Raw genomic sequence first — 23549 nt, 5'->3', positions numbered from 1 at the left:
GAAGAATTGGCTCACATGGTCACAGAGGTGGAGAAGTCCCAGGTTAGGACAACTGCAGGCCGGAGAACCAGAGAAGCTGGTAGCGTGGCCCAGTCCAAGTCCAAAGCCTCAGAATGAGAAAAGCCAACAATGTAGGCTCAAGGACCCCCTGGAATGTTGCTGGGACAAGTCCCAGAGTCCAAAAGCCAAAGGACCTGGGAGTCTGATGTCCAAAGGCAGGAAGAGAAAAAATATCCTGCTCTGGAAAGGAGAGAGAAAACAGAGTGAGTCCCCCTTCTTCTGCCTATTTGTGCCGGCCTGGCCCCCTGCTGTCTGGTTGTTGTGCCAGCATTGAGGGGATTTTCCTCTCCCAGTTCACTGACCCATGGAAACACCCTTACACACAAACACAGAAACAGTGCTTCACCAGCTACTGGACATCCCTAAATCCAGTCACTTTGACACCTGAAATTAACGAGCACATGTATCTTGAGAAAACAAGTCAAGATTCTGATGTGGAAAGGAAACTCAGAGTCTGGTGAGTTACCAGATACTTGACCATGGAGGAGACCGAGACTTTGCAAACCAGGGAAGGAAACTGTGCTAGTCCGTTCTCACACTGCTGTGAAGAAATAACTGGGACTGGGTAATTAATAAAGGAAAGTGGTTTAATTGACTCACAGTTCCACATGGCTGGGAAGGCCTCAGGAAACTCACAATCATGGTGGAAGGGGATGCAAACACGTCCTTCTTCACAGGGCAGCAGGAGAAAGAAGTGCTGAGCAAAGGGGGAAAAGCCCATTGTAAAACCATCAGATCTCGTGAGAACTTACTCACCATCACGAGAACAGCGTGAGGGTAACTCCCCCCATGATTAAATTACCTCCCACCAGGTCCCTTCCGTGACAGTGGAGATTATGGGAACCATAATTCAAGATGAGATTTTGATGGGGACATAGCCAAACCATATCAGAAACTCCCGCAGCAAGGTCAGGTGTGAAAATAAGCTACAGGAAACATACTCAGATTTTGAATTTATACAACTAATCTAAGTCAGATAGATGGATTGATTTATTTTTAACTCCCTGTCTTGATTTGTAATAAAAATGTAATAAATTAGGTGGAATAGTACGCTATTTGAAACGCAACACAGATGAGGAAGCTTATTGCTCAAAGCCACACAGAATGAAAGAAATCATTGTCTAAAATCACAGAACTGTGACGCATCAGTCATTAACTGAAAGTTTTTGTAAACACAATTCTCATTTTTCAATTGAGATACAATGAGGAGATATTAGAAACATATTTTGATAACTTACCTTTACTATTCCCAGAGGAGCTACTGCCCTGATGCCTTCCTCTTGCTAAGTAGCAGTTCGTTGGTTTGTAGTCATTCTCCCTTAACCATAGGGGATACATTCCAAGACCCCCAGTGGATGCCTGAAACCTCAGGTAGTACCAAATCCTATACATAATTTTTTTTCCTATAATGTATACATACCTATGATAAGGTTTATAAATGTAGCACAGTAAGAGATTAACAACAACAATAAAATTGAACAGTTATAATAATATACTGTAATAAAAGTTATGTGGGGCTGGGTGTGGTGGCTCATGCCTGTAATCCCAGCACTTTGGGAGGCTGAGGCGGGCAGATCACCTGAGGTCAGGAGTTTGAGACCAGCCTGGCCAACATGGCGGAACTCCATCTCTACTAAAAAAAAACCAAAAATTAGCCAGGTGTGATGGTGCATGCCTGTAATCCCAGCTACTTGGGAGGCTGAGGCACGAGAATCACTTGAACCCCAGAGGTAAAGGTTGCAGCAAGTCGAGATTGTGCCACTGCATTCCAACCTGGGGGATAGAGCAAGACTCTGTGTCTCAAAAAAAAAAAGTTATGTGAATGTGGTCTCTCTCTCTCTCAAATCATCTTATTGTACTGTACTCACCTATTTTCAGGTGGTGGTTGTCTATAGATAACTAAAACCATGAAAAGTGAAACCAGGGTCTACTGTGAATACAGCCTAAGGGTCAGAGTGAGAAAATGCTTAACTCCTTTCCTTTCTTAACCTGATGTGTTTTCTTCTTATTTGAGTAAACTGATTTACATTTCCTTTCCCTGAAATAGGTGATCCTTTCACAGACCGGAAGAATGCGGATGGTCAACATGCTTACTCAAAGAGCTGAGTCATAGGCCATAGGGCTTAGTGGAAAGAAAGCTAGGATAGTTGTGAGTATGCCTAACTGTGTGTGATCTTGGGAAACTTATTTAACATCTCTGAGACTATATCCTCACCTGTAAAATGGAGCAATTAATATCTTTAGGGCAGGGTTGTTGTTAGGATAAGAGAAAATACATGTAAACGTATGACATTTAGTTGATGCTTAATAAATGGTAGCTAATTTTCCTTTTATGATTGTAAGGAGTTGAGATGCAAATTGCAATGCCACTGAGAAGGGAAACCAATTAACCAATGAGGAATATAAAAATAGAAGTAAAACCAGAAAGACGAAACCATGAACTCACAGAATCTGTAGATGTGCTTTGGTGAAGGAATAGCTTTGTTTACCTGAAGCAGCTAAGCTGTATTTTGTTTTGAGAAGAATAGAGTGATATCATGTAAAGGGGCCCAGATGAGACTGGAAACATGGGTTCTAGGTCCACTTCTTCTGTGGATGGTATGACCTTGAACAAGTCACTTAAATGTAAAGAAAGGATATTGAGTGACTCTCTCAAATTCCTTCCAGTCCTATGATAATGGAGGCCTGGAAACAGGAAGAGTAGAGTTTGGATGCAGACACACAAAAAATCTTATTTTGGATCCCAGCTCTTTAAGCCTGTTTCTTTCTGTAAAATAGTATAAAGATCTATATTTTGGTGAGGTTATTGAGAAGAACTACGTAGTAGACTACGAAGTTGCCTCACAGTGTGATAAGCATTTTTCTATTTCCCTTCCATTCCTTTTAGCCACATTATATGTCAAGAACTACATCTCAGGCTTCTTAGTTGAGGAGACATGTATGAAATCAGCCTTTGATAAGTGTTGGCTGATAATGATTTTATTTGTTTCTGTAAGGCCTTGCCCACCCAGAGAGAACTCCCTTCTTTTTTGTGGCATTTCATCTTCCTATTTACTTGTTCCAAAATTCCTTTCACTAGGTTATTCCTGACTTAGACAACCAAGGCAAAGCATTGTCTGTTGATGACCATGTCACCAAAAGCGGGATGAGGATACTGAGGTGTTTGTGTGTGCGTAGGTCTTTTACCATTTTGTATTAACCAGATTAGTTCAAATTAAGTACTTGTTCTTGGGAAAGGAAAGAAACTTTTAGCAAGACGAGCAGTATAGTGTCATATGTAGTAGGCTTAGAGTTAGCCAAACTTGGGTTCGAATCTGACCTCCCATTTCCTAGTTCTGTCCCACTTAACCCCTCTAAGAATCAATTTCCTGAGTCTTGTGGGGCTAATAACACTATTCATTTCATAGCATTATTGTAGGGATTAAATAAGATGATATTTGTGATATACTTTGCGTAATACTTGGCATAAAGTAAATGCTTAATAAACAGAACTGTGTGTTTCAGGCCGAACACATACTTTGGTTAAATAAAATTTATGAGAGGCCATTGTTTTGAAGTAAGTTCTGACATTAGGCCCTAATAGAACAGACCAAACCAAAATGGGGTCACTCATGCTAAGGTTCCATGTTACCAAATTGAATTCGTCATTCAACCTTCTGAGAAATCAAGAGAGAGAGATGACAGCCGCAACACTCAAACAGGCCAGTTTTAGCCAGTATGATAAGGAAGTCCCCTCTGCTTTAATTCTTATAAAGAAGGTAACCTGAAGTGACCTGATGTTAACCAATCTGTTTTTTTCTTTTGTATTATGCTATTTCCTTGTTCCTGTTCAAGGTACCTTATGAAAACTGAATGTTCTGCCATGCCCAATGGAGTGTCTTTTATAAATCTTTAGATGAGATGCTGGCCAATTCATGAATCACTAATAAAAGCCAATTAGATCCCTTAACTAAATTTTTTGAAATAAAAAGAAAAATGATTTTAGAGATGAAGAGAGTGAGGCTCGGGGGAATCAGGAAACTCATCTAGGCTGCTGCACCATAGGAAAAATAGGTCTTTGGTCTCCTGACTCCCAAGGCTGGAATTTCTATTTGTCTTTCTATTTCATCACTGTTCTGAAGTTAGAATTTAAGAATCACTGCAATACATCTGCTAATGTAATATATTTATAAAATACATGAATCATATTTCTGATGAATTTCTCTATTCACAATGCTTAGTATCTACAAACTCTGAATAATAAAAAGGAAGTCTGTTTCAGGTGGTATTAATAGTTTATCAAGGAGAAAATAACTGAATATCGTATTAGCATCATTTTCCTTTTACAGAATCTGGCTACTGCCCCCTGGTGCTAATAATATGTAATTACACTTCATGAAAGTTGCATTCAGCATTTAGGTTTGAGTCAAATGTTGATAGAAATTAAACTTGTTGCCCTCCAAACATCTATGCACATTATCTGGATAGGAAATATAAAGTTACAATCCAGAGTCCACCTAGGCATACCAATGGGTAGCAGAATGACTTCACCTTTTAATTGAAAGTAATCCATTTCTGAGAAACCATCACAGGCAATTTGGTACAATTGAACTTTGTCTTTAACCTTTTACTATGATTTATGTGATTAGGCCAATGGAGGAAGTGGTTTTCAACAGCATGATTAAAACACTTTGAGGAAATAATTTCTGTCTTCAAGCACCTTGCATGATTTTTTTTTTTCTTTTCCAAGTGTTTGTCCTTTCTCATCAAAAGGAGAGTCAGGAAATGGAGAAATACTGACTTTTAAACACTGTCTTGGACAGAAATGAAAGCTCATAAAACAGCAAGGTCAAAGCCAGGGTGCTGGTTTTTAGCAGACCTGTGCAGCATGACTTCTTGCCTGATGAACAGCAGGACTAGAGATGTACTAATTTCAGTATTTTCCAAATTTAGGAATTTTACCCATCTATCAGGGATTTTTCAATTTTACTAAGCAAGGATTAAATTTCACCAACTTTTCAATTTTATTAAGCAAGGACTTATTTAAAAATAAACAATACATTGTGGCTACCATCTACTAAGAACCTATTTTATAAAATAAAGGACACTTTAATATCAGTAAAGTAGGAAGGACACAGTTTTATAATAATGGGCAATTTTACTCAACAAAATACAGTTGTTGCATTAGTCTTTGGTTTTCTCATTTTGCCAGGTGGCAAAATTGGACAATGGACCAGGTTAACGTTCCCTATTGAAATGACCTGCTCAAGTTCAGACTAAATTTTAGGCTGAAAATATTCCACTCTGCTTCTGTATTTGCCACTGTGCTTCAGAATATGTACAGAGGCTCCCAAATAGTCTTCAACATGCATGAAATTTATTGGCAATATGTATTCTGCCACATTTTTGGAGTAGGGAGGGTTGTTATAAGAATTCAGCTAAATGTAGCAAATTTTGCAAATCTCAAAATTTTGAGTAATCATTCTGAACTGTCTGTCCTTTGCCATTTTCTTTTGAGAAACAGGATCTTGTGCCACTGCCCCACAGTACTTTACATCTCAACAAGAAGAAAAAGAAGGTATTTTTTTTTTCTGGAAAGAGTAGGTTGTGGGTGACCTATCTGAGTTCACTGGCTCACTGAACAGTGATTAACATTTAAAATGTATGCAAACTAGACTCCTAATTAAAGCCCAATAATGTAGGACTTTGAACCTATTCACTGCCTTTGAAAATAATCATAGATGCTGGCTGCTTATCATGAAAAAGTCATTATGGTAAATGACCAACTCCCCCACCTTCTTTCCATCAACTGCAAAAGTGATTCTCCATTGCAAAGATTTGCAAATGGTGCATGTTGCAGTCACATGTCTCCTGGTAGCTGTAATTGTTATGCAAATTTTCTTGGCTCATGAATAATAACATTTACAGAGCTCCTGTTATATGTGAATTTGCAAGCATGAACTGAATTCAGGGTGGGTGGACAGTGGTGTTGATCTGAGAGTTCGTCAGGAACTCTCAAGGGCAGTTTGGAAGTGGCAGCGAAGAAGGGGAGTGACCCTTCCTCCCATTCTTTATTCTTCCTCCTTTGCTTTGCTGACTGTTTGTGGGAAAGGGGATATGAAGCGCAGAGAGGGAATTAAAAAAAAGTAATGGAATCCAAAATAGGTCAGAGGACAGAAATATTCAGGAACCAAATACTAGTTGCAGTATTAATTAAAGTCAGTTTGTCAAAGGTAGAGAATCCAGATAACAAAGACAGCCTCAGTGGAGAAAAAAGGGAAATGTGAGAATGAACATTTATTGTGCCTCTGGTAAGTGCCAGAGACTCTTGTACATAGGCTACATATTTTATTATTGACCCATATAATAGCCTGATAAAATAGGTTGTGTTTTCTTACAGGTGAGGAGCCTGAGGTTCCCAGGGGTTTGTGTACATGAGGAAGGTTCTCACATCTCAGAGCTAAATTTCAACTCTAAATATATCTGATTTGAAAACTTTCCCATCTCCAAGTTTCCTTTCAAAATTACTCCAAAATGTACCCATTGAAATGAACTTCCAGGAAACATGATTTCAGAGTAGTGGTTTCATTACCTTATTTCCCTGGACATCAGTGACACAGAGATGATATGGCTAAAATGACTGTTTATTGCCTAAGCAGCTGCTGACATGACCAGCACACCATGGTCCTGGAATCGAATGCAATGGAATATATGGCTACAAAAGGGGTCTGGGAGCTCTTCAGTGTGGTTCCTCAAGACCTGTCACTGTGTTCTGTGGGTAATTTAATGTTTACTAAGGAAATACTGAAATGTGCCAGCAAATGATCATTTTCACCTTTGGGAAATCACTCATTTGATGGGGACATTTAAGGAATTTATGTTATTCTTTGAAGACTTATAAACAGAAAAAAAGTGACTATGAGCTATGGGAGAAGAAAATTTCCCCTCTTCTCTTGTCCATTTCTCTGGTCTGGCAGTCCTTCCCAAATATTTGTGAGATACAGGACAAGGATACAAATAGAGGCCCAGATGTTGTGTGGGCTATATATTTAGGCTACACAAATAATTATCCTCTGTCTCTCCATCTCAGGACTAGGGCTGTGTACTCTGGTGGTGTAGTTTGTACTCTGGAGGACAGACCTGGGAAAGAAAATCATACGGGGCCTAGAAGCAATTTGAAGGCAATATGGGGAAAGGATTTTAGGGTCCCTGGAACACAGAGGTTGGTTAGTAGAGGAGAATAAGGGTTCTGGGTTGACATGTCCTATTGCCACACAAACTTCTCACCCCAGGCAAAGCTCTGTGGCTGGAGGAAGATGACAGAGTGGTGGCTTTTAAGCACAGGACCCGGGGCATGGTTGGAAGCATGCACAGACACACACTTATAGACACATGCTTGATGAAACCGCAGATCACCTGTAATTTTTCCTCTGGGGTAACTTGACAGAGCAGAGACTTTGTTCTTTATTTTTTCTAGCTCTCACCATAGTGATGATTCCTTTTCAAGATGGTATAATTTAAGTAAAATAAATATTCTTTATTTTTCTTCCAACTTTTATTTTAGGTTGGAGGGTATATGTGCAGGTTTGTTACATGGGTAAACTGCATGTGGCTGAGGTTTGGTATAATTGTTTTCATCACCCAGGTAGTGAGCCTAGGGACCCAGCAGGGAGCTTTTTGATCTTCATCCTCTTCCCATCCTCTACACTCAAGTAGGTTCCAGTGTCTATTGTTCCCCTGTTTGTATTCATGCGTACTCAAATGTTTAGCTCCCACTTATAAGTGAGAATATGTGGTATTTGGTTTTCTGTTCCTGCATTATTTCACTTAGGACAATGGCCTCCAACTACATCCATGTTGCTGTGAAAGACATGATTTTGTTCCTTTTTTATAGCGGCATAGTATTCCATGATGCATATGTACCATATTTTCTTTATTCTATCCACCATTGATGGGCATCTAGGTTGATTCCGTGCCCTTGCTATTGTGAAAAGTGCTGCAGTAAACATACACATGTATGTGTCTTTTTCTTTTGTTTTGTCTTTTTTGAGACAGGGTTTCACTTTGTTACCAGGCTGGAGGGCAGTGGTGTGATCTTAGCTCACTACAGCCTTGACATTCTGGACTCAAGTGATCCTCCCACCTCTGCCTCCCAGAGGAACTACAGGCACATGCCACTGTGCCCAGGTAATTTTTTATTTTATTAATTATTATTTTTTTTTTTAACAGAGACTGGGTTTTACCTAGTTGCCCAGGCTGGTATCATGCATTTGTCTTTATGGTAGAATGAATAGACTATTATTTTGGGTACATACCCAGTATGTATTGGTATTGCTGGGTTTAATAATAGTTCTGTTTTAAATTCTTTGAGAAATCTCCAAACTACTTTCACAGGGGCTGAACTAATTTATATTCCCACCAGCAGTGTATAAGCATTCCCTTTTCTCTGCAACTTCACCAACATCTGTTATTTTTTGACTTTTTAATAATAGCTATTTTCACTGGTGTGAGATGTATCTCATTGTGGTTTTGATTTGCATTTCTCTAATGATTGGTGATGTTGGGGATTTTTTCATATGCTTGTTGGCTATATGTATGTCTTCTTTTGAAAAGTGTCTATTCATGTTGTTTGCGCATTTTTAATAAGGTTGTTTGTTTTTTACTTGTTGATTTGTTTAATTTCTTTATATATTCTGGATATTAGACATTTGTTGGATGCACAGTTTGAAAATATTTTCTCCCCTTCTGTAGGGTGTCTGTTTGCTCTTTTGATAGTTTCTTTTGTTGTGCAGAAGCTCTTCAGGTTAATTAGTTCCTATTTGTCAATTTTGTTTTTGTTACAATTGCTTTTGGAGTCTTCATCATGAAATATTTGCCAAGGCATATGTCCAGAATGGCATTTCCTAGGTTTTCTTCCAGGGTCGGTCTGCCTTGCCTCGCCTCTCCTCTCCTTTCCTCTCCTATCTGTCCTTTCCTTTTTCAATTTTAGGTTTTACATGTAAGTCTTTAATCCATCTCGAGTTGATTTTTGTATATGGTGAAGGGAAGGGGTCCAGTTTCTTTCTTTTGCATATGGCTGGTCATTTATCCCTGCACCACTTATTGAATAGGGAATCCTTTCCCTACTGCTTGTTTTTGTCAGCTTTGTTGAAGATCAGATGGTTGTAGGTGTGCAGCCTTACTTCTGGGCTTTCTATTCTGTTCCATTGGCTTGTATGTCTGTCTTTGTATCAGTACAATACCGTTTTGATTACTGCAGCCTTGTATCACAGTTTGAGGTTGGATAGTGTGATGCCTCCAGCTTTGTTCTTTTTTTTTTTTTGCTTATGATTGCTTTGGCTATTTGGTTTTTTTTTTTGCTTCGTATCAATTTTAGAGTAGTTTTTTCTAAGTCTATGAAAAATGACCTTGGTAGTTTGATAGGTATAGCACTGAATTTGTAAACTGCTTTGGGCAGTATGGCCATTTTAACAATACTAATTCTCCTATCCACGAGTAGGAAATATTTTTCCATTTGTTTGTGTGTAATTTCTGACTTCTTTGAGCAACGTTTTATAATTCTTGTTGAAGAGATCTTTCACCTTCCTGGTTAGCTGTATTCTTAGGTATTTTATTCTTTTAGTGGCCATTATGAATGGGATTGTGTTACTGATTTGGTTCTCAGCTTGGATGTTTTGGTTTATAGAAATGCTACTGATTTTTATACATTGATTTTATATCCCAAAACGTTATTAAAGTTGTCTATCAGTTATAGGAGCCTTTGGACAGAGACTGAGGGGTTACAGAGTCATATTGTTTGCTAAGAGAGATAGTCTGACTTCCTCTCCTTCTATTTGGATGCCTTTTATTTCTTTTTCTTCCCTGATTGCTTTGGTTAACACTTCTAGTACTATGCTGTATAGGAATGGTGAGAGTGGGCATCCTTGTCTTATTCCAGTTCTCAAGGAAAATACTTCTAGCTTTTGACCATTTAGTATGATGTTGGCTGTGGGTTTGCCATAGATGGCTCTTATTATTTTGATGTACGGTTTTTTGATGGCTAGTTTGTTGAGGGTTTTTAACATGAAGGGATGTTGAATTTCATCAAAAGCCTTTTCTGTGTGTATTAAGATGATCAAATGGTTTTTGTTTTTAGTTCTGTTTATGTTATAAATCACATTTATTGATTTGCATATGTTGAACCCATCTTGCATCCCAGAAATAAAACCTACTAGATTGTCGGGGATTATCTTTTTGATGTGCTGTTGGATTTGGTTTGCTAGTATTTTGTTGCAGACTTCTGCATCTATGTTCATTGCTGATATTGGCCTGAATTTTTTTTAATTTTTAAATTAAAAAAAAATTTTTTTTTTTAAATTTTGCCTCTGCCAGGTTTTGGTATCAGAAATATACTGTCCTCATAGAATGAGTTAGAGGTGAGTCCTTCCTCTTTGATTTTTTATGATGATTTTGATAGGATTAGTACCAGCTCTTTTTTATATGTCTGGTAGAATTTGACTGTGAATCCATCTGGTCTAGGGTTATTTCTGGTTGGTAAGTTTTTTATTACTGATTGGATCTGGGGACTTATTGGCCTGTTCAGATATTCAATTTCTTCCTGGTTCAATCTTGGGAGGTTGTTTGTTGTGATGAATTTATCCATTTCTTCTAGGTTTTCTAATTTGTGTGCATAGAGGTGTTCATAATAGTCTCTGAAACTTTTTTGTATTTCTGTGGGGTTGGTAGTAATGTCCCCTTTGACATTTCTGGTTGTGTTTATTTGGCTTTCTCTCTTTTTTTCTTTTAGCCTAGCTAGTGGTTTATCAATATTATGTATTCTTGAAAAAAAAAAAAAAAAAAAACAAGTTTTAGCTTCACTGATTTTTGTATGGCTTTTCATGCCTCAATTTCGTTCACTTCAGCTCTGATTTTGGTTATTAACTTTATTCTGCTAGCTTTGGAGCTAGTTTGTTCTTGTTTATCTAGTTCCTCTAGGTGTGATGTTAGGTTGTTAATTTAAGATATTTCTACTCCTTTGATGTAGGCATTTGGTGATATAAACTTTCCTCTTAACCCTGCTTCAACTATGTCCCAGAAACTCTAGTATGTTGTATCTTTGTTTTCCTTAGTTTCAAAGAATTTCTTGATTTCTGCCTTAATTTTGTTATTTACCAAAAAGCCATTCAGGAGGAATCTGTTTAATGTCCATGTAATTGTATATAGATTTTCTTTTCTTTTCTTTTCTTTTGAGACAGAGTCTCACTCTGTTACCAAGGCTGGAGTGCAACGGCTTGATCGTAGCTCACTGCAGCCTCAACCTCCCCAGGCTCAGATGGTCCTCCTGCCTCAAATTCCGGAGTAGCTGGAACCACAGGCATGTGCCACCAAGCCCAGTTAATTTTTGTATTTTTTTGTAGAGATGAGATTTCACCATGTTGTCAGGCTGGTGTCAAACTCCTGGGTTCAAGTGATCCTCCCTCCTTGGCCTTTCCAAGTGCTGGGATTACAGGCATGAGCCACCACAAATGGCTACTAATCATATGGTTTTGAGAGATCTTCTTGGTATTGATTTTTATTCTTATTGTGCTGTGGTCTGAGAGTGTGGTTGGTATGATTTCATTCTTTTTAAATTAGCTGAGAATTACTTTATGGCTGAGCATGTGGTTGATCTCAGATTGTGTGCCATGTACAGATAAAAAGAATGTGTAGCCTAGTGTTGTTGGGTGGGATATTCCATAGATGTCTGTTAGGTCCATTTGGTCAGGTATCAAGTTTAGATTCTGAATATCTTTGTTAGTTTTCTGCCTTTATGATCTGTCTAACACTGTCAATGGGGTATCAAAGTCTCTCACTATTATTGTGTAATTATCTACAAACTCATAGGTCTCTAAAAACTTGTTTTATGAATCTGGGTGCCCCAGTGTTGGATGCAAAAATATTAGGATAGTTAAGTCTTCTTGTTGAATCTAACCCTTTATCATTATGTAATGAATGTCCTTCTTTGTTTTTTTCTTTTTGGTTATTGTTGGTTTAAAGTCTCTTTTTTCTGAAATAAGAATAGCAACCCCTGCTCTTTTTTGTTTGCCATATGCTTGATAGATCTTTTTCTGTCTCTTTACTTTGAGCCTATGGGTGTCATTGCATGTGACATGGTCTCTTGAGGACAGCACACAGTGGGTCTTGTTTCTTTATCCAACTTGCTACTCTGTGCCTTTTAAGTAGGGGCATTTAGCCCATTTATGTTCAAGGTTAATATTGATATGTGCAGATTTGATGTTGTCATTGTGTTGTTAGCTAGTTCTTCTGTAGTCTTGATTGTATAGTTGCTTTATAGTGTCAGTGAGCTATTTACTTAAGTGTGTTTTTGTGGCAGCAGGGGTTAGTCTTTTGTTTCTGTGTTTAGCACTCTCTTAAGGACTTCTTGTAAGGCAGGTCTGGTGGTAACAAATTCTTTTAGAATTTTCTTGTCTGAAAAGGATTTTATTTCTCTTTTGCTTATGAAGCTTAGTTTGGCTGGATATGAAATTCTTGGTTTGAATTTTTTTTAAGGATGTTGAATATGGGCCCCTGATTTCTTCTGGCTTATGAGGTTCCTGCTGAAAGGTTCACTGTTAGCCTGACAGGCTTCCCTTTGTAGGTGACCTGGCCCTCCTCTCTAGCTGCCTTCAATATTTTTTCTTTTGTGTTGACCTTGGAGAATCTAATGACTAAAATAAATTTTCTATTATCAAGTTGAGATTATATAGTTTCTGTTTTGTTCTTCTTTTGCTGTTTTTCTACATCTGTTTTTCACCTACTAGTCATTTCACTTCTCTATTTAGGGACAAAAGAGGACAAAAAGGTTTGCTTCTTACTTTAGGCTTATGTCATGGAACCTTACATTATAATCCTAATACTTTAATGTTATAGATTGAATAATATTTTAATATTATGGCTGAATAGAAACAGCTCCGGTCTGCAGCTCCCAGTGAGATCAATGCAGAAGGCGGGTGATTTCTGCATTTCCAACTGAGGTATCTGGCTTATCTCATTGGGACTGGTTAGACAGTAGGTGCAGCCCACGGAGGGCAAGCCAAAGCAGGTTGGGGCATCACCTCACCCGGGAAGCATAAGGGGTTAGGGAACTCCCTCCCCTAGCCAAGGAAAGCCATGAGGGACTGTGCTGTGAGGAATGGTGCATTTCGGCCCAGATACTACACTTTTCCCATGGTCTTTGCAACCCGCAGACCAGTAGATTCCCTTGGGTGCCTATACCACCAGGGCCCTGGGTTTCAAGTACAATACTGGGTGGCTGTTTGGACAGACACTGAGCTAGCTGCAGAAGTTTTTTTTCATACCCCAGTGGTGCCTGGAATGCCAGTGAGAAAGAACTGTTCACTCCCCTGGAAAGGGGGTGCTGTAGCCAGGGAGCCAAGTAGTCTAGTTCAGCGGATACCACCCCCCACTGAGCCCAGCAAGCTAAGATCCACTGGCTTGAAATTCTCACTGCCAGCACAGCAGTCTGCAGTCAACCTGGGATGCTCAAGCTTGGTTGGGGGAGGTGCATCTGCCATTACTGAGACTTGAGAAGGTGGTATTCCCCTCATAGCATAAACAAAGCCTGGGGAAGTTCGAACTGGGCGGAACCCACCACAGCTTGGCAAAGCCTCTGTAGCCAGACTGCCTCTCTAGATTCCTCTTCTCTAGGCACGGTATCTCTAAAAGAAAAGCAGCAGCCTCAGTCAGGGGCTTATAGATAAAACTCCAATCTCCCTGGGAGAGAGCACCTGGGGGAAGGGGTGGCTGTGGGCACAGCTTCACCAGATTTAAATGTCCCTGCCTACTGGCTCTGAAGAGAGCAGCAGATCTCCCAGTACAGGGCTCGAGCTTTGCTAAGGGACAGACTGCCTCCTCAAATGGGTCCCTGATGCCCATGTCTCTTGATGGGCAGACACCTCCCAGCAGGGGTTGACAAGACACCTCATACAGGAGTGCTGTGGCTGACATCTGGTGGGTGCCCCTCTGGGATGAAGCTTCCAGAGGAAGGAACAGCAGCAATCTTTGCTGTTTTGCAGCCTCCGCTAGTGATAACCAGGCAAACAGGGTCTGGAGTGGACCTCCAGCAAACTACAGCAGACCTGTAGCAGAGGGGCCTGACTGTTAGAAGGAAAACTAACAAATAGAAAGGAATAGCATCAACATCAACAAAAAGGACGTCTACACAAAAACTCCATCCGAAAGTCACCAACATCAAAGACCAAAGGTAGATAAATCCATGAAGATGAAAAAGAACCGGTGCAAAGTAGCTGAAAATTCCCAAAACCAGAATGTCTCTTCTCCTCCAAAGGACCACAACTCTTTAGCAGCAAGGGAACAAAACTGGATGGAGAATGAGTTTGATGAATTGACAGAAGTAGGCTTCAGAAGGTGGGTAATAACAAACTTCTCTGAGCTAAAGGAGCATTTCTAACCCAATGCAAGTAAGCTAAGGACGTTGACGAAAGGTTAGAGGAATTGCTAACTAGAATAACCAGTTTAGACAAGAACATAAATGACTTGATGGAGCTGAAAAACACGAAATGAGAACTTAGTGAAGCATACACAAGTATCAGTGGGTGAATTGATCAAGCAGAAGAAAGGATATCAGAGATTGAAGGTCAACTTAATGAAATAAAGTGTGAAGACAGGATTCGAGAAAGAAGAATGAAAAGGAACAAATAAAGTGTCCAAGAAATATGGGACTATGTGAAAAGACCAAACCTACATTTGATTGGTGTACCTGAAAGTGATGGGGAGAATGGAACCAAGTTGGAAAACACTCTTCAGGATATCATCCAGGAGAACTTCCCCAACCTAGCAAGACAGACCAACAATCAAATTCCGGAAATACAGAGGACACCACAAAATACTCCTTGAAAAGAGCAACTCCAAGACACATAATCATCAGATTCACCAAGGTTGAAATGAAGGAAAAAGTGTTAAGGGCAGTCAGACAGAAAGGTCAGGTTACCCATAAAGGGAAGCCCATCAGACTAACAGTGGATCTCTCTGCAGAAACCCTACAAGCCAGAAAAGAGTGGGGGCCAATATTCAATACTCTTAAAGAAAAGAATTTTCAACTGAGAATTTCATATCTGGCCAAACTAGCTTCATAAGTGAAGGAGAAATAACATCCTTTACAGACAAGCAAATGCTGAGAGATTTTGTCACCACCAGGCCTACCTTAGAAGAGCTCCTGAAGAAAGCACTAAATATGGAAAGGAAAACCAGTACCAGCCACTGCAAAAACATACCAAATTGTAAAGACCATCAACACTATGAAGAAACTGCCTCAACTAACAGGCAAAATAACCAGCTAGCATCCTAATGACAGGATCAAATTCACACATAACAATAAGGCTAAATGCCCCAATTAAAAGACACAGACTGGCAAATTAGATAAAGAGTCAAGAGCCATCAGTGTGCTGTATTTAGGAGACCCATCTCACGTGCAAAGACACACTCAGGCTCAAAATAAAGGGAGTTTACCAAACAAACAGAAAGAAAAAAAAAAAAAAAGCAGGGGTTGCAATCCTAGTCTCTGATAAAACAGACTTTAAATCAATAAAGACCACAAAAGACAAAGAAGGGCATTACATAATGGTAAACGGAGCAATGCAACAAGAAGAGCTCACTATCCTAAATATATACGCACTCAATACAGGAGCACCCAATACAGGAGCACCCAGATTCACAAAGCAAGTTCTTAGAGACCTACAAGGAGACTTAGACTCCCAAACAATAATAGTGGAAGACTTTAATACCCCACTGTCAATATTAGACAGAAAATTAACAAGGATATTCAGGACTTGAACTCAGCTCTGGACCAAGCGGACCTAATAGACATCTGCAGAACTCTCCACCTCAAATCAACAGAATATACATTTTTCTCAGCACCACTTTGCACTTATTCTAAAATTGACCACATAAGTGGAAGTAAAACACTCCTCAGCAAATGCAAAACAACAGAAATCATAACAATCTCTCAGATCACAGTACAATCAAATTAGAACTCAGGATTAAGAAACTCACTCAAAACTGCACAACTACGTGGAAACTGAACAACCTACTCCTGAATGACTACTGGGTAAATAATGAAATTAAGGCAGAAATAAATAAGTTCTTTGAAACCAATAAGAACAAAGATACAATGTACCAGAATCTCTGGGACACAGCTAAAGCGGCGTTTAGAGGGAGATTTATAGCACTAAATGCCCACAGGAGAAAGCGGGAAAGATCTAAAATCAACATCCTAACGTCACAATGAAAAGAACTAGAGAAATGAGAGCAAACAAATTCAAAAGCTAGCAGAGGACAAGAAATAACTAAGATCAGAGCAGAACTGAAGGAGATAGAGACACGAAAAGACCTATGAAAAAATCAATGAATCCAGGAGCTGGGTTTTTGAAAAGATCAACAAAAAGATAGATCACTAGCCAGACTAATAAAGAAGAAAATAGAGAATAGACACAATAAAAAATGATAAAGGGGATGTCACCGCTGATTCCACATAAATACAAACTACCATCAGAGAATCCTATAAACATCTCTATGCAAATATACTAGAAAATTTGGAGGAAATGGATAAATTCCTGGACACGTACACCCTCTCAAGACTAAACCAGGAAGAAGTTGAATCCCTGAATAGACCAATTACAAGTTCTGAAATTAAGGCAGTCATTAATAGCCTACCGACCAAAAAAAGCCCAGGACCAGACAGATTCACAGCCAAATTCTACCAGAGGTACCAAGAGGAGCTGGTACCATTCCTTCTGAAATTATTCCAAACGATAGAAAAGGAGGGGCTCCTCCCTAACTCATTTTATGAGGCCAGCATCATCCTGATACCAAAGCCTGGCAGAGACACAACAAAAAAAGAAAACTTCAGGCCAATATCCCTGATGAACATTGATGTGAAAATCCTCAATAAAACACTGGCAAACTGAATCCAGCAGCACATGAAAAAGTTTATCCACCACGATCAAGTTGGCTTCATCCCTGGAATGCAAGCCGGGTTCAACATATGCAAATCAATAAACGTAATTCATCACATAAACAGCCAATGACAAAAACCACATGATTATCTCAATAGATGCAGAAAAGGCCTTCGATAAAATTCAACACTCCTTCATGCTAAAAATTCTCAATAAGTTAGGTATTGATGCAACATATCTCAAAATGATAAGAGCTATTTAGGACAAACCCACAGCCAATATCATACTGAATGGGCAAAAGCTGGAAGCATTCCCTTTGAAAACCAGCACAAGACAAGGATGCCCTCTCTTACCACTCCTATTCAACATAGTATTGGAAGTTCTGGACAGGGCAATCAGGCAAGAGAAAGATATAAAGGGTATTCAAATAGGATGAGAAGAAGTCAAATTGTTTCTGTTTGCAGATGACATGATTGTATATGTAGAAAACCCCATCGTCTCAGCCCAAAATCTCCTTAAGCTGATAAGCAACTTCAGCAAAGTCTCAGGATACAAAATCAGTGTGCAAAAATCACAAGCATTCCTATGCACCAATAACAGACAAAGAGAGAGCCAAATCATGAGTGAACTCCCATTCACAATTGCTTCAAAGACAATAAAATACTTAGGAATACAACTCACAAGGGGTGTGAAGGTCCTCTTCAAAGAGAACTACAAATCACTGCTCAAGGAAATAAGAGGACACAAAACAAATGGAAAAACATTCTATGCTCATTGATGGGAAGAATCAATATTGTGAAAATGGCCACACTGCCCAAAGTAATTTATAGATTCAATGCAATCTCCATCAAGCTACCATTGACTTTCTTCACAGAATTAGAAAAAAACTACTTTAAATTTCATATGGAACCAAAAAAAAAGCCTGTATAGCCAAGACAATCCTAAGCAAAAAGAACAAAGCTGGAGGCATTGCACTACCTGACTTCAAACTATACTACAAGGCCACGGTAACTAAAACAGCATGGTACTGGTACCAAAACAGAAATATAGACCAATGGAACAGAACAGAGGCCTCAGAAATAGCACCACACATCTATGACCATCTGATCTCTGACAAACCTGACAAAAACAAGCAATGAGGAAAAGATTCCCTATTTAATAAATGGTGTTGGGAAAACTGGCTATCCATATGCAGAAAACTGAAACTGGACCCCTTCCTTACATATTATACAAAAATTAACTCAAGATGGATTAAAGACTTAAACGTAAGACCTAAAATGATAAAATCCCTGGAAGAAAACCTAGGCAATACCATTCAGGACATGGGCATGGGCAAAGACTTCATGACTAAAACACCAAAAGCAATGGCAACAAAGGCCAAAATTGACAAATGGGATCTAATTAAACTAAAGAGCTTCTGCACAGCAAAATTAACTATCATCAGAGTGAACAGGCAACCTACAGAATGGGGGAAATTTTTGCAATTTACCCATCTGACAAAGGGCTAATATCCAGATTCTACAAAGAACTTAAACAAATTTACAAGAAAAAAGCCCATCAAAAAGTAGGCAAAGGATACGGACAGACAGTTCTCAAAAGAAGACATTTATGTAGCCAACAAGCATATGAAAAAAAGCTCATCATTACTGGTCATTAGAGAAATGCAAATCAAAACCACAATGAGATAGCATCTCACGCCAGTTAGAATGGTCATCATTAAAAAGTGAGGAAACAACAGATGCTGGAGAGGATGTGGAGAAATAGGAATGCTTTTACACTGTTGTTGGGAGTGTAAATTAGTTCAACCATTGTGGAAGACAGTGTGGCGATTCCTCAAGGATCTAGAACCAGCAATACCATTTGATCCAGCAATCCCATTACTGGGTATATACCCAAAGGATTATAAATAATTCTCTATAAAGACACATGCACATGTATGTTTATTGGGGGAACTGTTCACAATAGCAAGACTTGGAACCAACCCAAATGCCCATCAATGATAGACTGGATAAAGAAAGTGTGGCACATATACACCATGGAATACTATGCAGCCATAAAAAAGGATGAGTCCATGTCCTTTGCAGGGACATGGATGAAGCTGGAAACCATCATTTTCAGCAAACTAGCACAAGAACAGAAAACCAAACATCGCATGTTCTCACTCATAAGTGGGAGTTGAACAATGAGAACAGGTGGACACAGTGAGGGGAACATCACACACTGAGGCCTGTCAGGGGTTGGGGGGCTAGGGGAGAGATAGCATTAGGAGAAATACCTAATGTAGATTACGGGTTGATGGGGGCAGAAATCCACGAAGCCATGTGTATACCTATGTAACAAACCTGTACATTCTGCACATGTATCCCAGAACTTCAAGTATAATGATAATAGTAATAATAAAAGAATAAGGCCCAGACAGGTGGAGAGATGGCAGGATATGCGGAGGAGGTAAAGGCCTGCATTTCTATTTTGTCATTAATTTCTTTTTGTGGAAATAGTTACATGACTTCTGCTTTATGATAGCTGAATTGGTGTATGGCTGAAGGAAACTGTTTAGGAAAATGGATAAGATTCTGGATTATGGAGCATGCTTCTTGGCTTCAATTCCCAGACCTGCCATGTGGCAGCTGGGTGATTGCTGTAGGCTGGAAAATGAATACTCAGAGAATATTCATGTCCTAATTCCTGGAACCTGTAAATGTTACCTTATATGAAAAAACAATCTTTGTAACATGATTAAGTTAGGGTTCTTGAGATCGGGGAGGTTATTGTGGATTATTAGGTCGGGCTGTAAATGTAATCATGTATGTCCTTTTAAGAGGGAGTTGGAAGGAAATTTTGCAGACACACACACACACACACACACACACACACACAGACACACACAGAGAGAGAGAGAGAGAGAGAGAGAAGGAGAGAGAGAAGGTGGCAAAGTGAAGAATGGGGCAGATTTCGAGTTATGCAGCCACAAACCAAAAAACTCTGGCTGCCACCAGATTCTGTAAGAGGCAAGGAATGGATTCTCTCCGAGAGCTTCTGGAGGAAATATGGCCTTGCTGACACTTTGATTTCAGTCCAGTGATACTGATTTTCCATCCTCCAGAAATGGGACAGCATAAATTTCTGTTGTTTTCAATCACCAAGTTTGTGGTAATTTACCATAGCAGCCATGGACACTGAAGCAGTGATTTTAGGCAAGTTAAAGTACTCCACATTAACTCAGTTTCTTCAGTTGTAAAATGTAAATGATAAAATTCTGTAACTCAGAAGGTTCTTATGAAGATTAAAATTATGTTTATGTATTTATGATGCAAGATAAATATATGTATATGACTTTAATCCTCACAATAACCCATGTGAGATAGATATTCTTATTTATTTGCACATATATTAATTATATATGTATGTTTCTCTTGAACATTCTACACACACTCCTGCAGGCAGAGTATTCTAAGGCCATAGGGACCTGCGGTACCATAAATTGAAGAAACCTAGATCTGTAAATTACCATATGGAAGAAAGCTATCCATTGCTGGGAACACCTGCATGGGATTAACACGAGAATAAATAGAGGTTTACTTCTGTCTATTGTGATAAGCCATTAATTTGATGGCTTACTGTTACAGTAGCTAGCATTATGCAACTAATACAACTACGGAGTTATTTGCACTTGCATGAAGTGAAAAGGTCACCAGCCAGATTTCCTAGACCTTATATCTTGTTTGTAGAGAGTTTGTCAGGGAAAAAATTGTTGATGTGTACCTAACAATTTTAATCTTGAAGTTACTAGAAGAAAATGAGCACAGAATCCATAAAGGCCATTTTCAGAGAGTCACTTTTCTGATTCCAGTTACACTCTAATTAATATCATGAAGCGTTAGCAGACGAAGTAAGGAGCAATTATTAGCTATCAGATTCTGGTTTTGGGAGAGAAATGATGGTATACTGTGCATAATTTTTGCATCATTAAAAATTAAATCCCATAAGCATAATGACTCGAATATCAAGCCCTGACAATATCTGCAGATGATAAACTATGGTGTGTAAGAAAGCAATTTACTAGGTAATGATGCAATATTTTCTGTATTTAGACAGAATTTTGCCCAAAAAGGCAAAATGATGTTTTATATCAAATTATTTCCAGTCAGAGATTAGCAGAAGAATAACAAAAATTACTTAGTGGTATTCACTTTTATATTCAAGGTAATTTAATGAGAAAGGCATACATTTCTTTGGCAAATAGACTCATTGTTGAAGCTTACCAACCTTCATGACCCTACTAACTGTGTGAACTTGAGCAAGTTTCTCAACCTCACACATTTTCAGTTTCACCACCTGTCAAAATGAGGTACTCTGCCTTAGCTCATCAAACTTTTGTGCAGATTAAATGAGATAACGTAGTTAGAACACTGAACACTGAGTCGAGCACATTGTAGACACGTCATAAATGTTAGTTCCTTTCTTCCTTCTTTTTTCCATGTTGTTGAGCTCTCTTCCTGAGGAGAGTACCTAAAATGAGATTCTGATACTACTGCATAAAACCAAGCTCACAGGATGAGTCACAGTGGGAATCAAAAACTCCTGATTAAAATCTCCCAGGAGCTCTTGAAGACATATCTGTGAGATTTCTGAGCTCCAAGCCAGTTACTGATACCACATACCGCCAGACTTTGTGGAGGTTGCTAAGATTTCCAAGAGGATGGAAGACTCACTGGCATTTGTGTCTGTCTTCTTTTTTTTTCTGGGAGTTGTCATAATTCCCTCAGTGATGATTTTATATGTTCAAGAAAATGAAATGGGGCTTATGTATGAGACCACTCAAGAGTATTAGGGCATGCACTAATGAGAACAAGATCATGGATTTGATCTTGATCAATTCCAGACCCACAGCACTGCCATCCTAATCTCTGACTGGACATCACACAAAGGTTTACTCTAGCTCCAAGTTGGGACTAGGAGTGAGACTGTGGCTGGTGACCATTAACTGGTGATGAATGACTATCTCTTCTTGAATGGAGCTGGTGATTTCCGTTACTCTAATCAACTGATTTGTCCTCTGCATTCCTTGGGTTTCTTCCTGTAAATGGGATTAGCCATCTTTGCCTTACTAACATTCTTCCTTGAAAATCCTCAGGCAAACCAAACTACCTGTACCATTCACTGTCATTAATAATGTTGTATCTGGTCCCATGCCTGTCATATGGCAGTGTCCAATAAGTGTTTGCCCTTCCACTGTGTGAGGAGACATCTTGGTGTAGTGGAAATTGCCCAGGCTTTAAAGCCAGAAATACCCATGTTCCCATCCTCATTCTGTCACTTACTAGCAAGGAGGTCTTAGGTTACTTCCCTGGAACTCGACTTCTTCATCTGCAAGGTGGGGATAATAACACTAAATCTATAAGGTTACTTTTAGGACTAAATAAAATAATATATAAATATTACTCCTTTTCTCATTCTTCTTAGCTCCTAAACTATATCACATAATTATATATGATATTATCAAAATAATATAAAGGAATATGCTGTGGTTTAGTCATGGAGTAATTAATGAACTATTGTAAAGGGTATGCAGAATTTCTCTGTTGCTTCTCAGAAGCTTTATGTATTTCAGAAATTTCCTACATTTTTGTGGTTATTGGAAGTGACCTTTCTTGTTTCCAAGCATCGTATACATGCATATTATGTTTATTTAAAAAACATTTAATCTTTTGATTTGTAAAGGGAGAGGGAGTATGCTATATGTTCAGTCCATCATCTTGAAACTTGAAGTTCTATGCTTGCAAATGTTTTTAGCTTCTTAATTTTCTTATTTTACTTGAATTTCCTCTTAATTAAGAAGGTTGTGCATAGTAGCAGTGTTGGGGCAGTGTGGTGCTGAGAAAGAGTCATGGGTATATCAACATTTTTATTTATACAATGTGAGGTGGAAAGAAAAAGAGAAAAATTATGCATGAAAGCAGAATGAAAAGAGGTTAGAAATAATGAAATAGTTCCCTTCAGACATTCAATATTTGAAAGAAGGCTTAAGGCTTAGGGGTTTCCAAAGAGGTAACAAGATAAAAACAAAGAGAAAAAACATTGGCTTGAAATTCAGGGGATGGAAACATCTTCCCAGTTCTGCCGTTCCCACTTGGTCATTTGGCCAGCTGGCATCAGGTCTCTGGGCCTTGGTTTCCTTCTCTGTAAAATGGTTGTGAAGGAGGGCTATTACTCAGATGGTTTTAATTGTCTGGTTCATGTCTTGCAACAATTAAATCAACACCTGATTCATCAAAGCTCTGGGGAATTCCTTGCTGGCGGTTTAAAAATAGAGTTCTGTGGAAAAAAACAAATGACGAATCCAATATGTGAACATGCCATTTTGTTTGAAAAGAGGGAATGAGAGTGAAATGCTAGAAACCAGAGATGCTAGACTATTTTTAGCAGGAATATTAATATAGAAGTAGTAAACTGTGAAACTTTAAGTTTGGCATAACCTAGCCACAAAAAAGGAGATCAATCACACTGAGCAAAAAAAAAAAAATAATCATATGGAAACAGTGTCCATTTTTAACAGTGACTGTCTGCCTCACCACCTTT

The 23549-nt window shown here is 38.8% G+C and overlaps 7 annotated features.

Annotated features, from left to right (window-relative positions):
- Positions 1074-2273: an enhancer, noted in NCBI's record as "MED14-independent group 3 enhancer chr9:26746698-26747897 (GRCh37/hg19 assembly coordinates)". NCBI's record gives its function as "activates an origin of replication core promoter dependent on BRD2, BRD4, P300/CBP and CDK7 cofactors, and independent of MED14, by STARR-seq in HCT116 cells {active_cell/tissue: HCT116}" and the evidence as "EXISTENCE:reporter gene assay evidence [ECO:0000049][PMID:35650434]".
- Positions 1074-2527: a biological region, named in NCBI's record as "MED14-independent group 3 enhancer GRCh37_chr9:26746698-26747897".
- Positions 1848-2527: an enhancer, noted in NCBI's record as "OCT4-NANOG-H3K27ac hESC enhancer chr9:26746444-26747123 (GRCh37/hg19 assembly coordinates)". NCBI's record gives its function as "activates a minimal SCP1, AML or CMV promoter by ChIP-STARR-seq in primed H9 embryonic stem cells {active_cell/tissue: H9 hESC(primed)}" and the evidence as "EXISTENCE:reporter gene assay evidence [ECO:0000049][PMID:30033119]".
- Positions 2001-2090: a silencer, noted in NCBI's record as "silent region_19818". NCBI's record gives its function as "represses an Ori minimal core promoter by ATAC-STARR-seq in GM12878 lymphoblastoid cells {active_cell/tissue: GM12878}" and the evidence as "EXISTENCE:reporter gene assay evidence [ECO:0000049][PMID:35858748]".
- Positions 5633-6198: an enhancer, noted in NCBI's record as "OCT4-NANOG hESC enhancer chr9:26742773-26743338 (GRCh37/hg19 assembly coordinates)". NCBI's record gives its function as "activates a minimal SCP1, AML or CMV promoter by ChIP-STARR-seq in primed H9 embryonic stem cells {active_cell/tissue: H9 hESC(primed)}" and the evidence as "EXISTENCE:reporter gene assay evidence [ECO:0000049][PMID:30033119]".
- Positions 13642-13711: an enhancer, noted in NCBI's record as "active region_28247". NCBI's record gives its function as "activates an Ori minimal core promoter by ATAC-STARR-seq in GM12878 lymphoblastoid cells {active_cell/tissue: GM12878}" and the evidence as "EXISTENCE:reporter gene assay evidence [ECO:0000049][PMID:35858748]".
- Positions 20273-20774: an enhancer, noted in NCBI's record as "NANOG hESC enhancer chr9:26728197-26728698 (GRCh37/hg19 assembly coordinates)". NCBI's record gives its function as "activates a minimal SCP1, AML or CMV promoter by ChIP-STARR-seq in naive H9 embryonic stem cells {active_cell/tissue: H9 hESC(naive)}" and the evidence as "EXISTENCE:reporter gene assay evidence [ECO:0000049][PMID:30033119]".

This window comes from Homo sapiens, chromosome 9 (assembly GCF_000001405.40).
Source record: "Homo sapiens chromosome 9, GRCh38.p14 Primary Assembly".
NCBI classification, from domain to species: Eukaryota; Metazoa; Chordata; class Mammalia; order Primates; family Hominidae; genus Homo; species Homo sapiens.
Note: the sequence above shows the minus strand (reverse complement) of the source record. Positions and strands in the feature narration are given on the sequence as shown.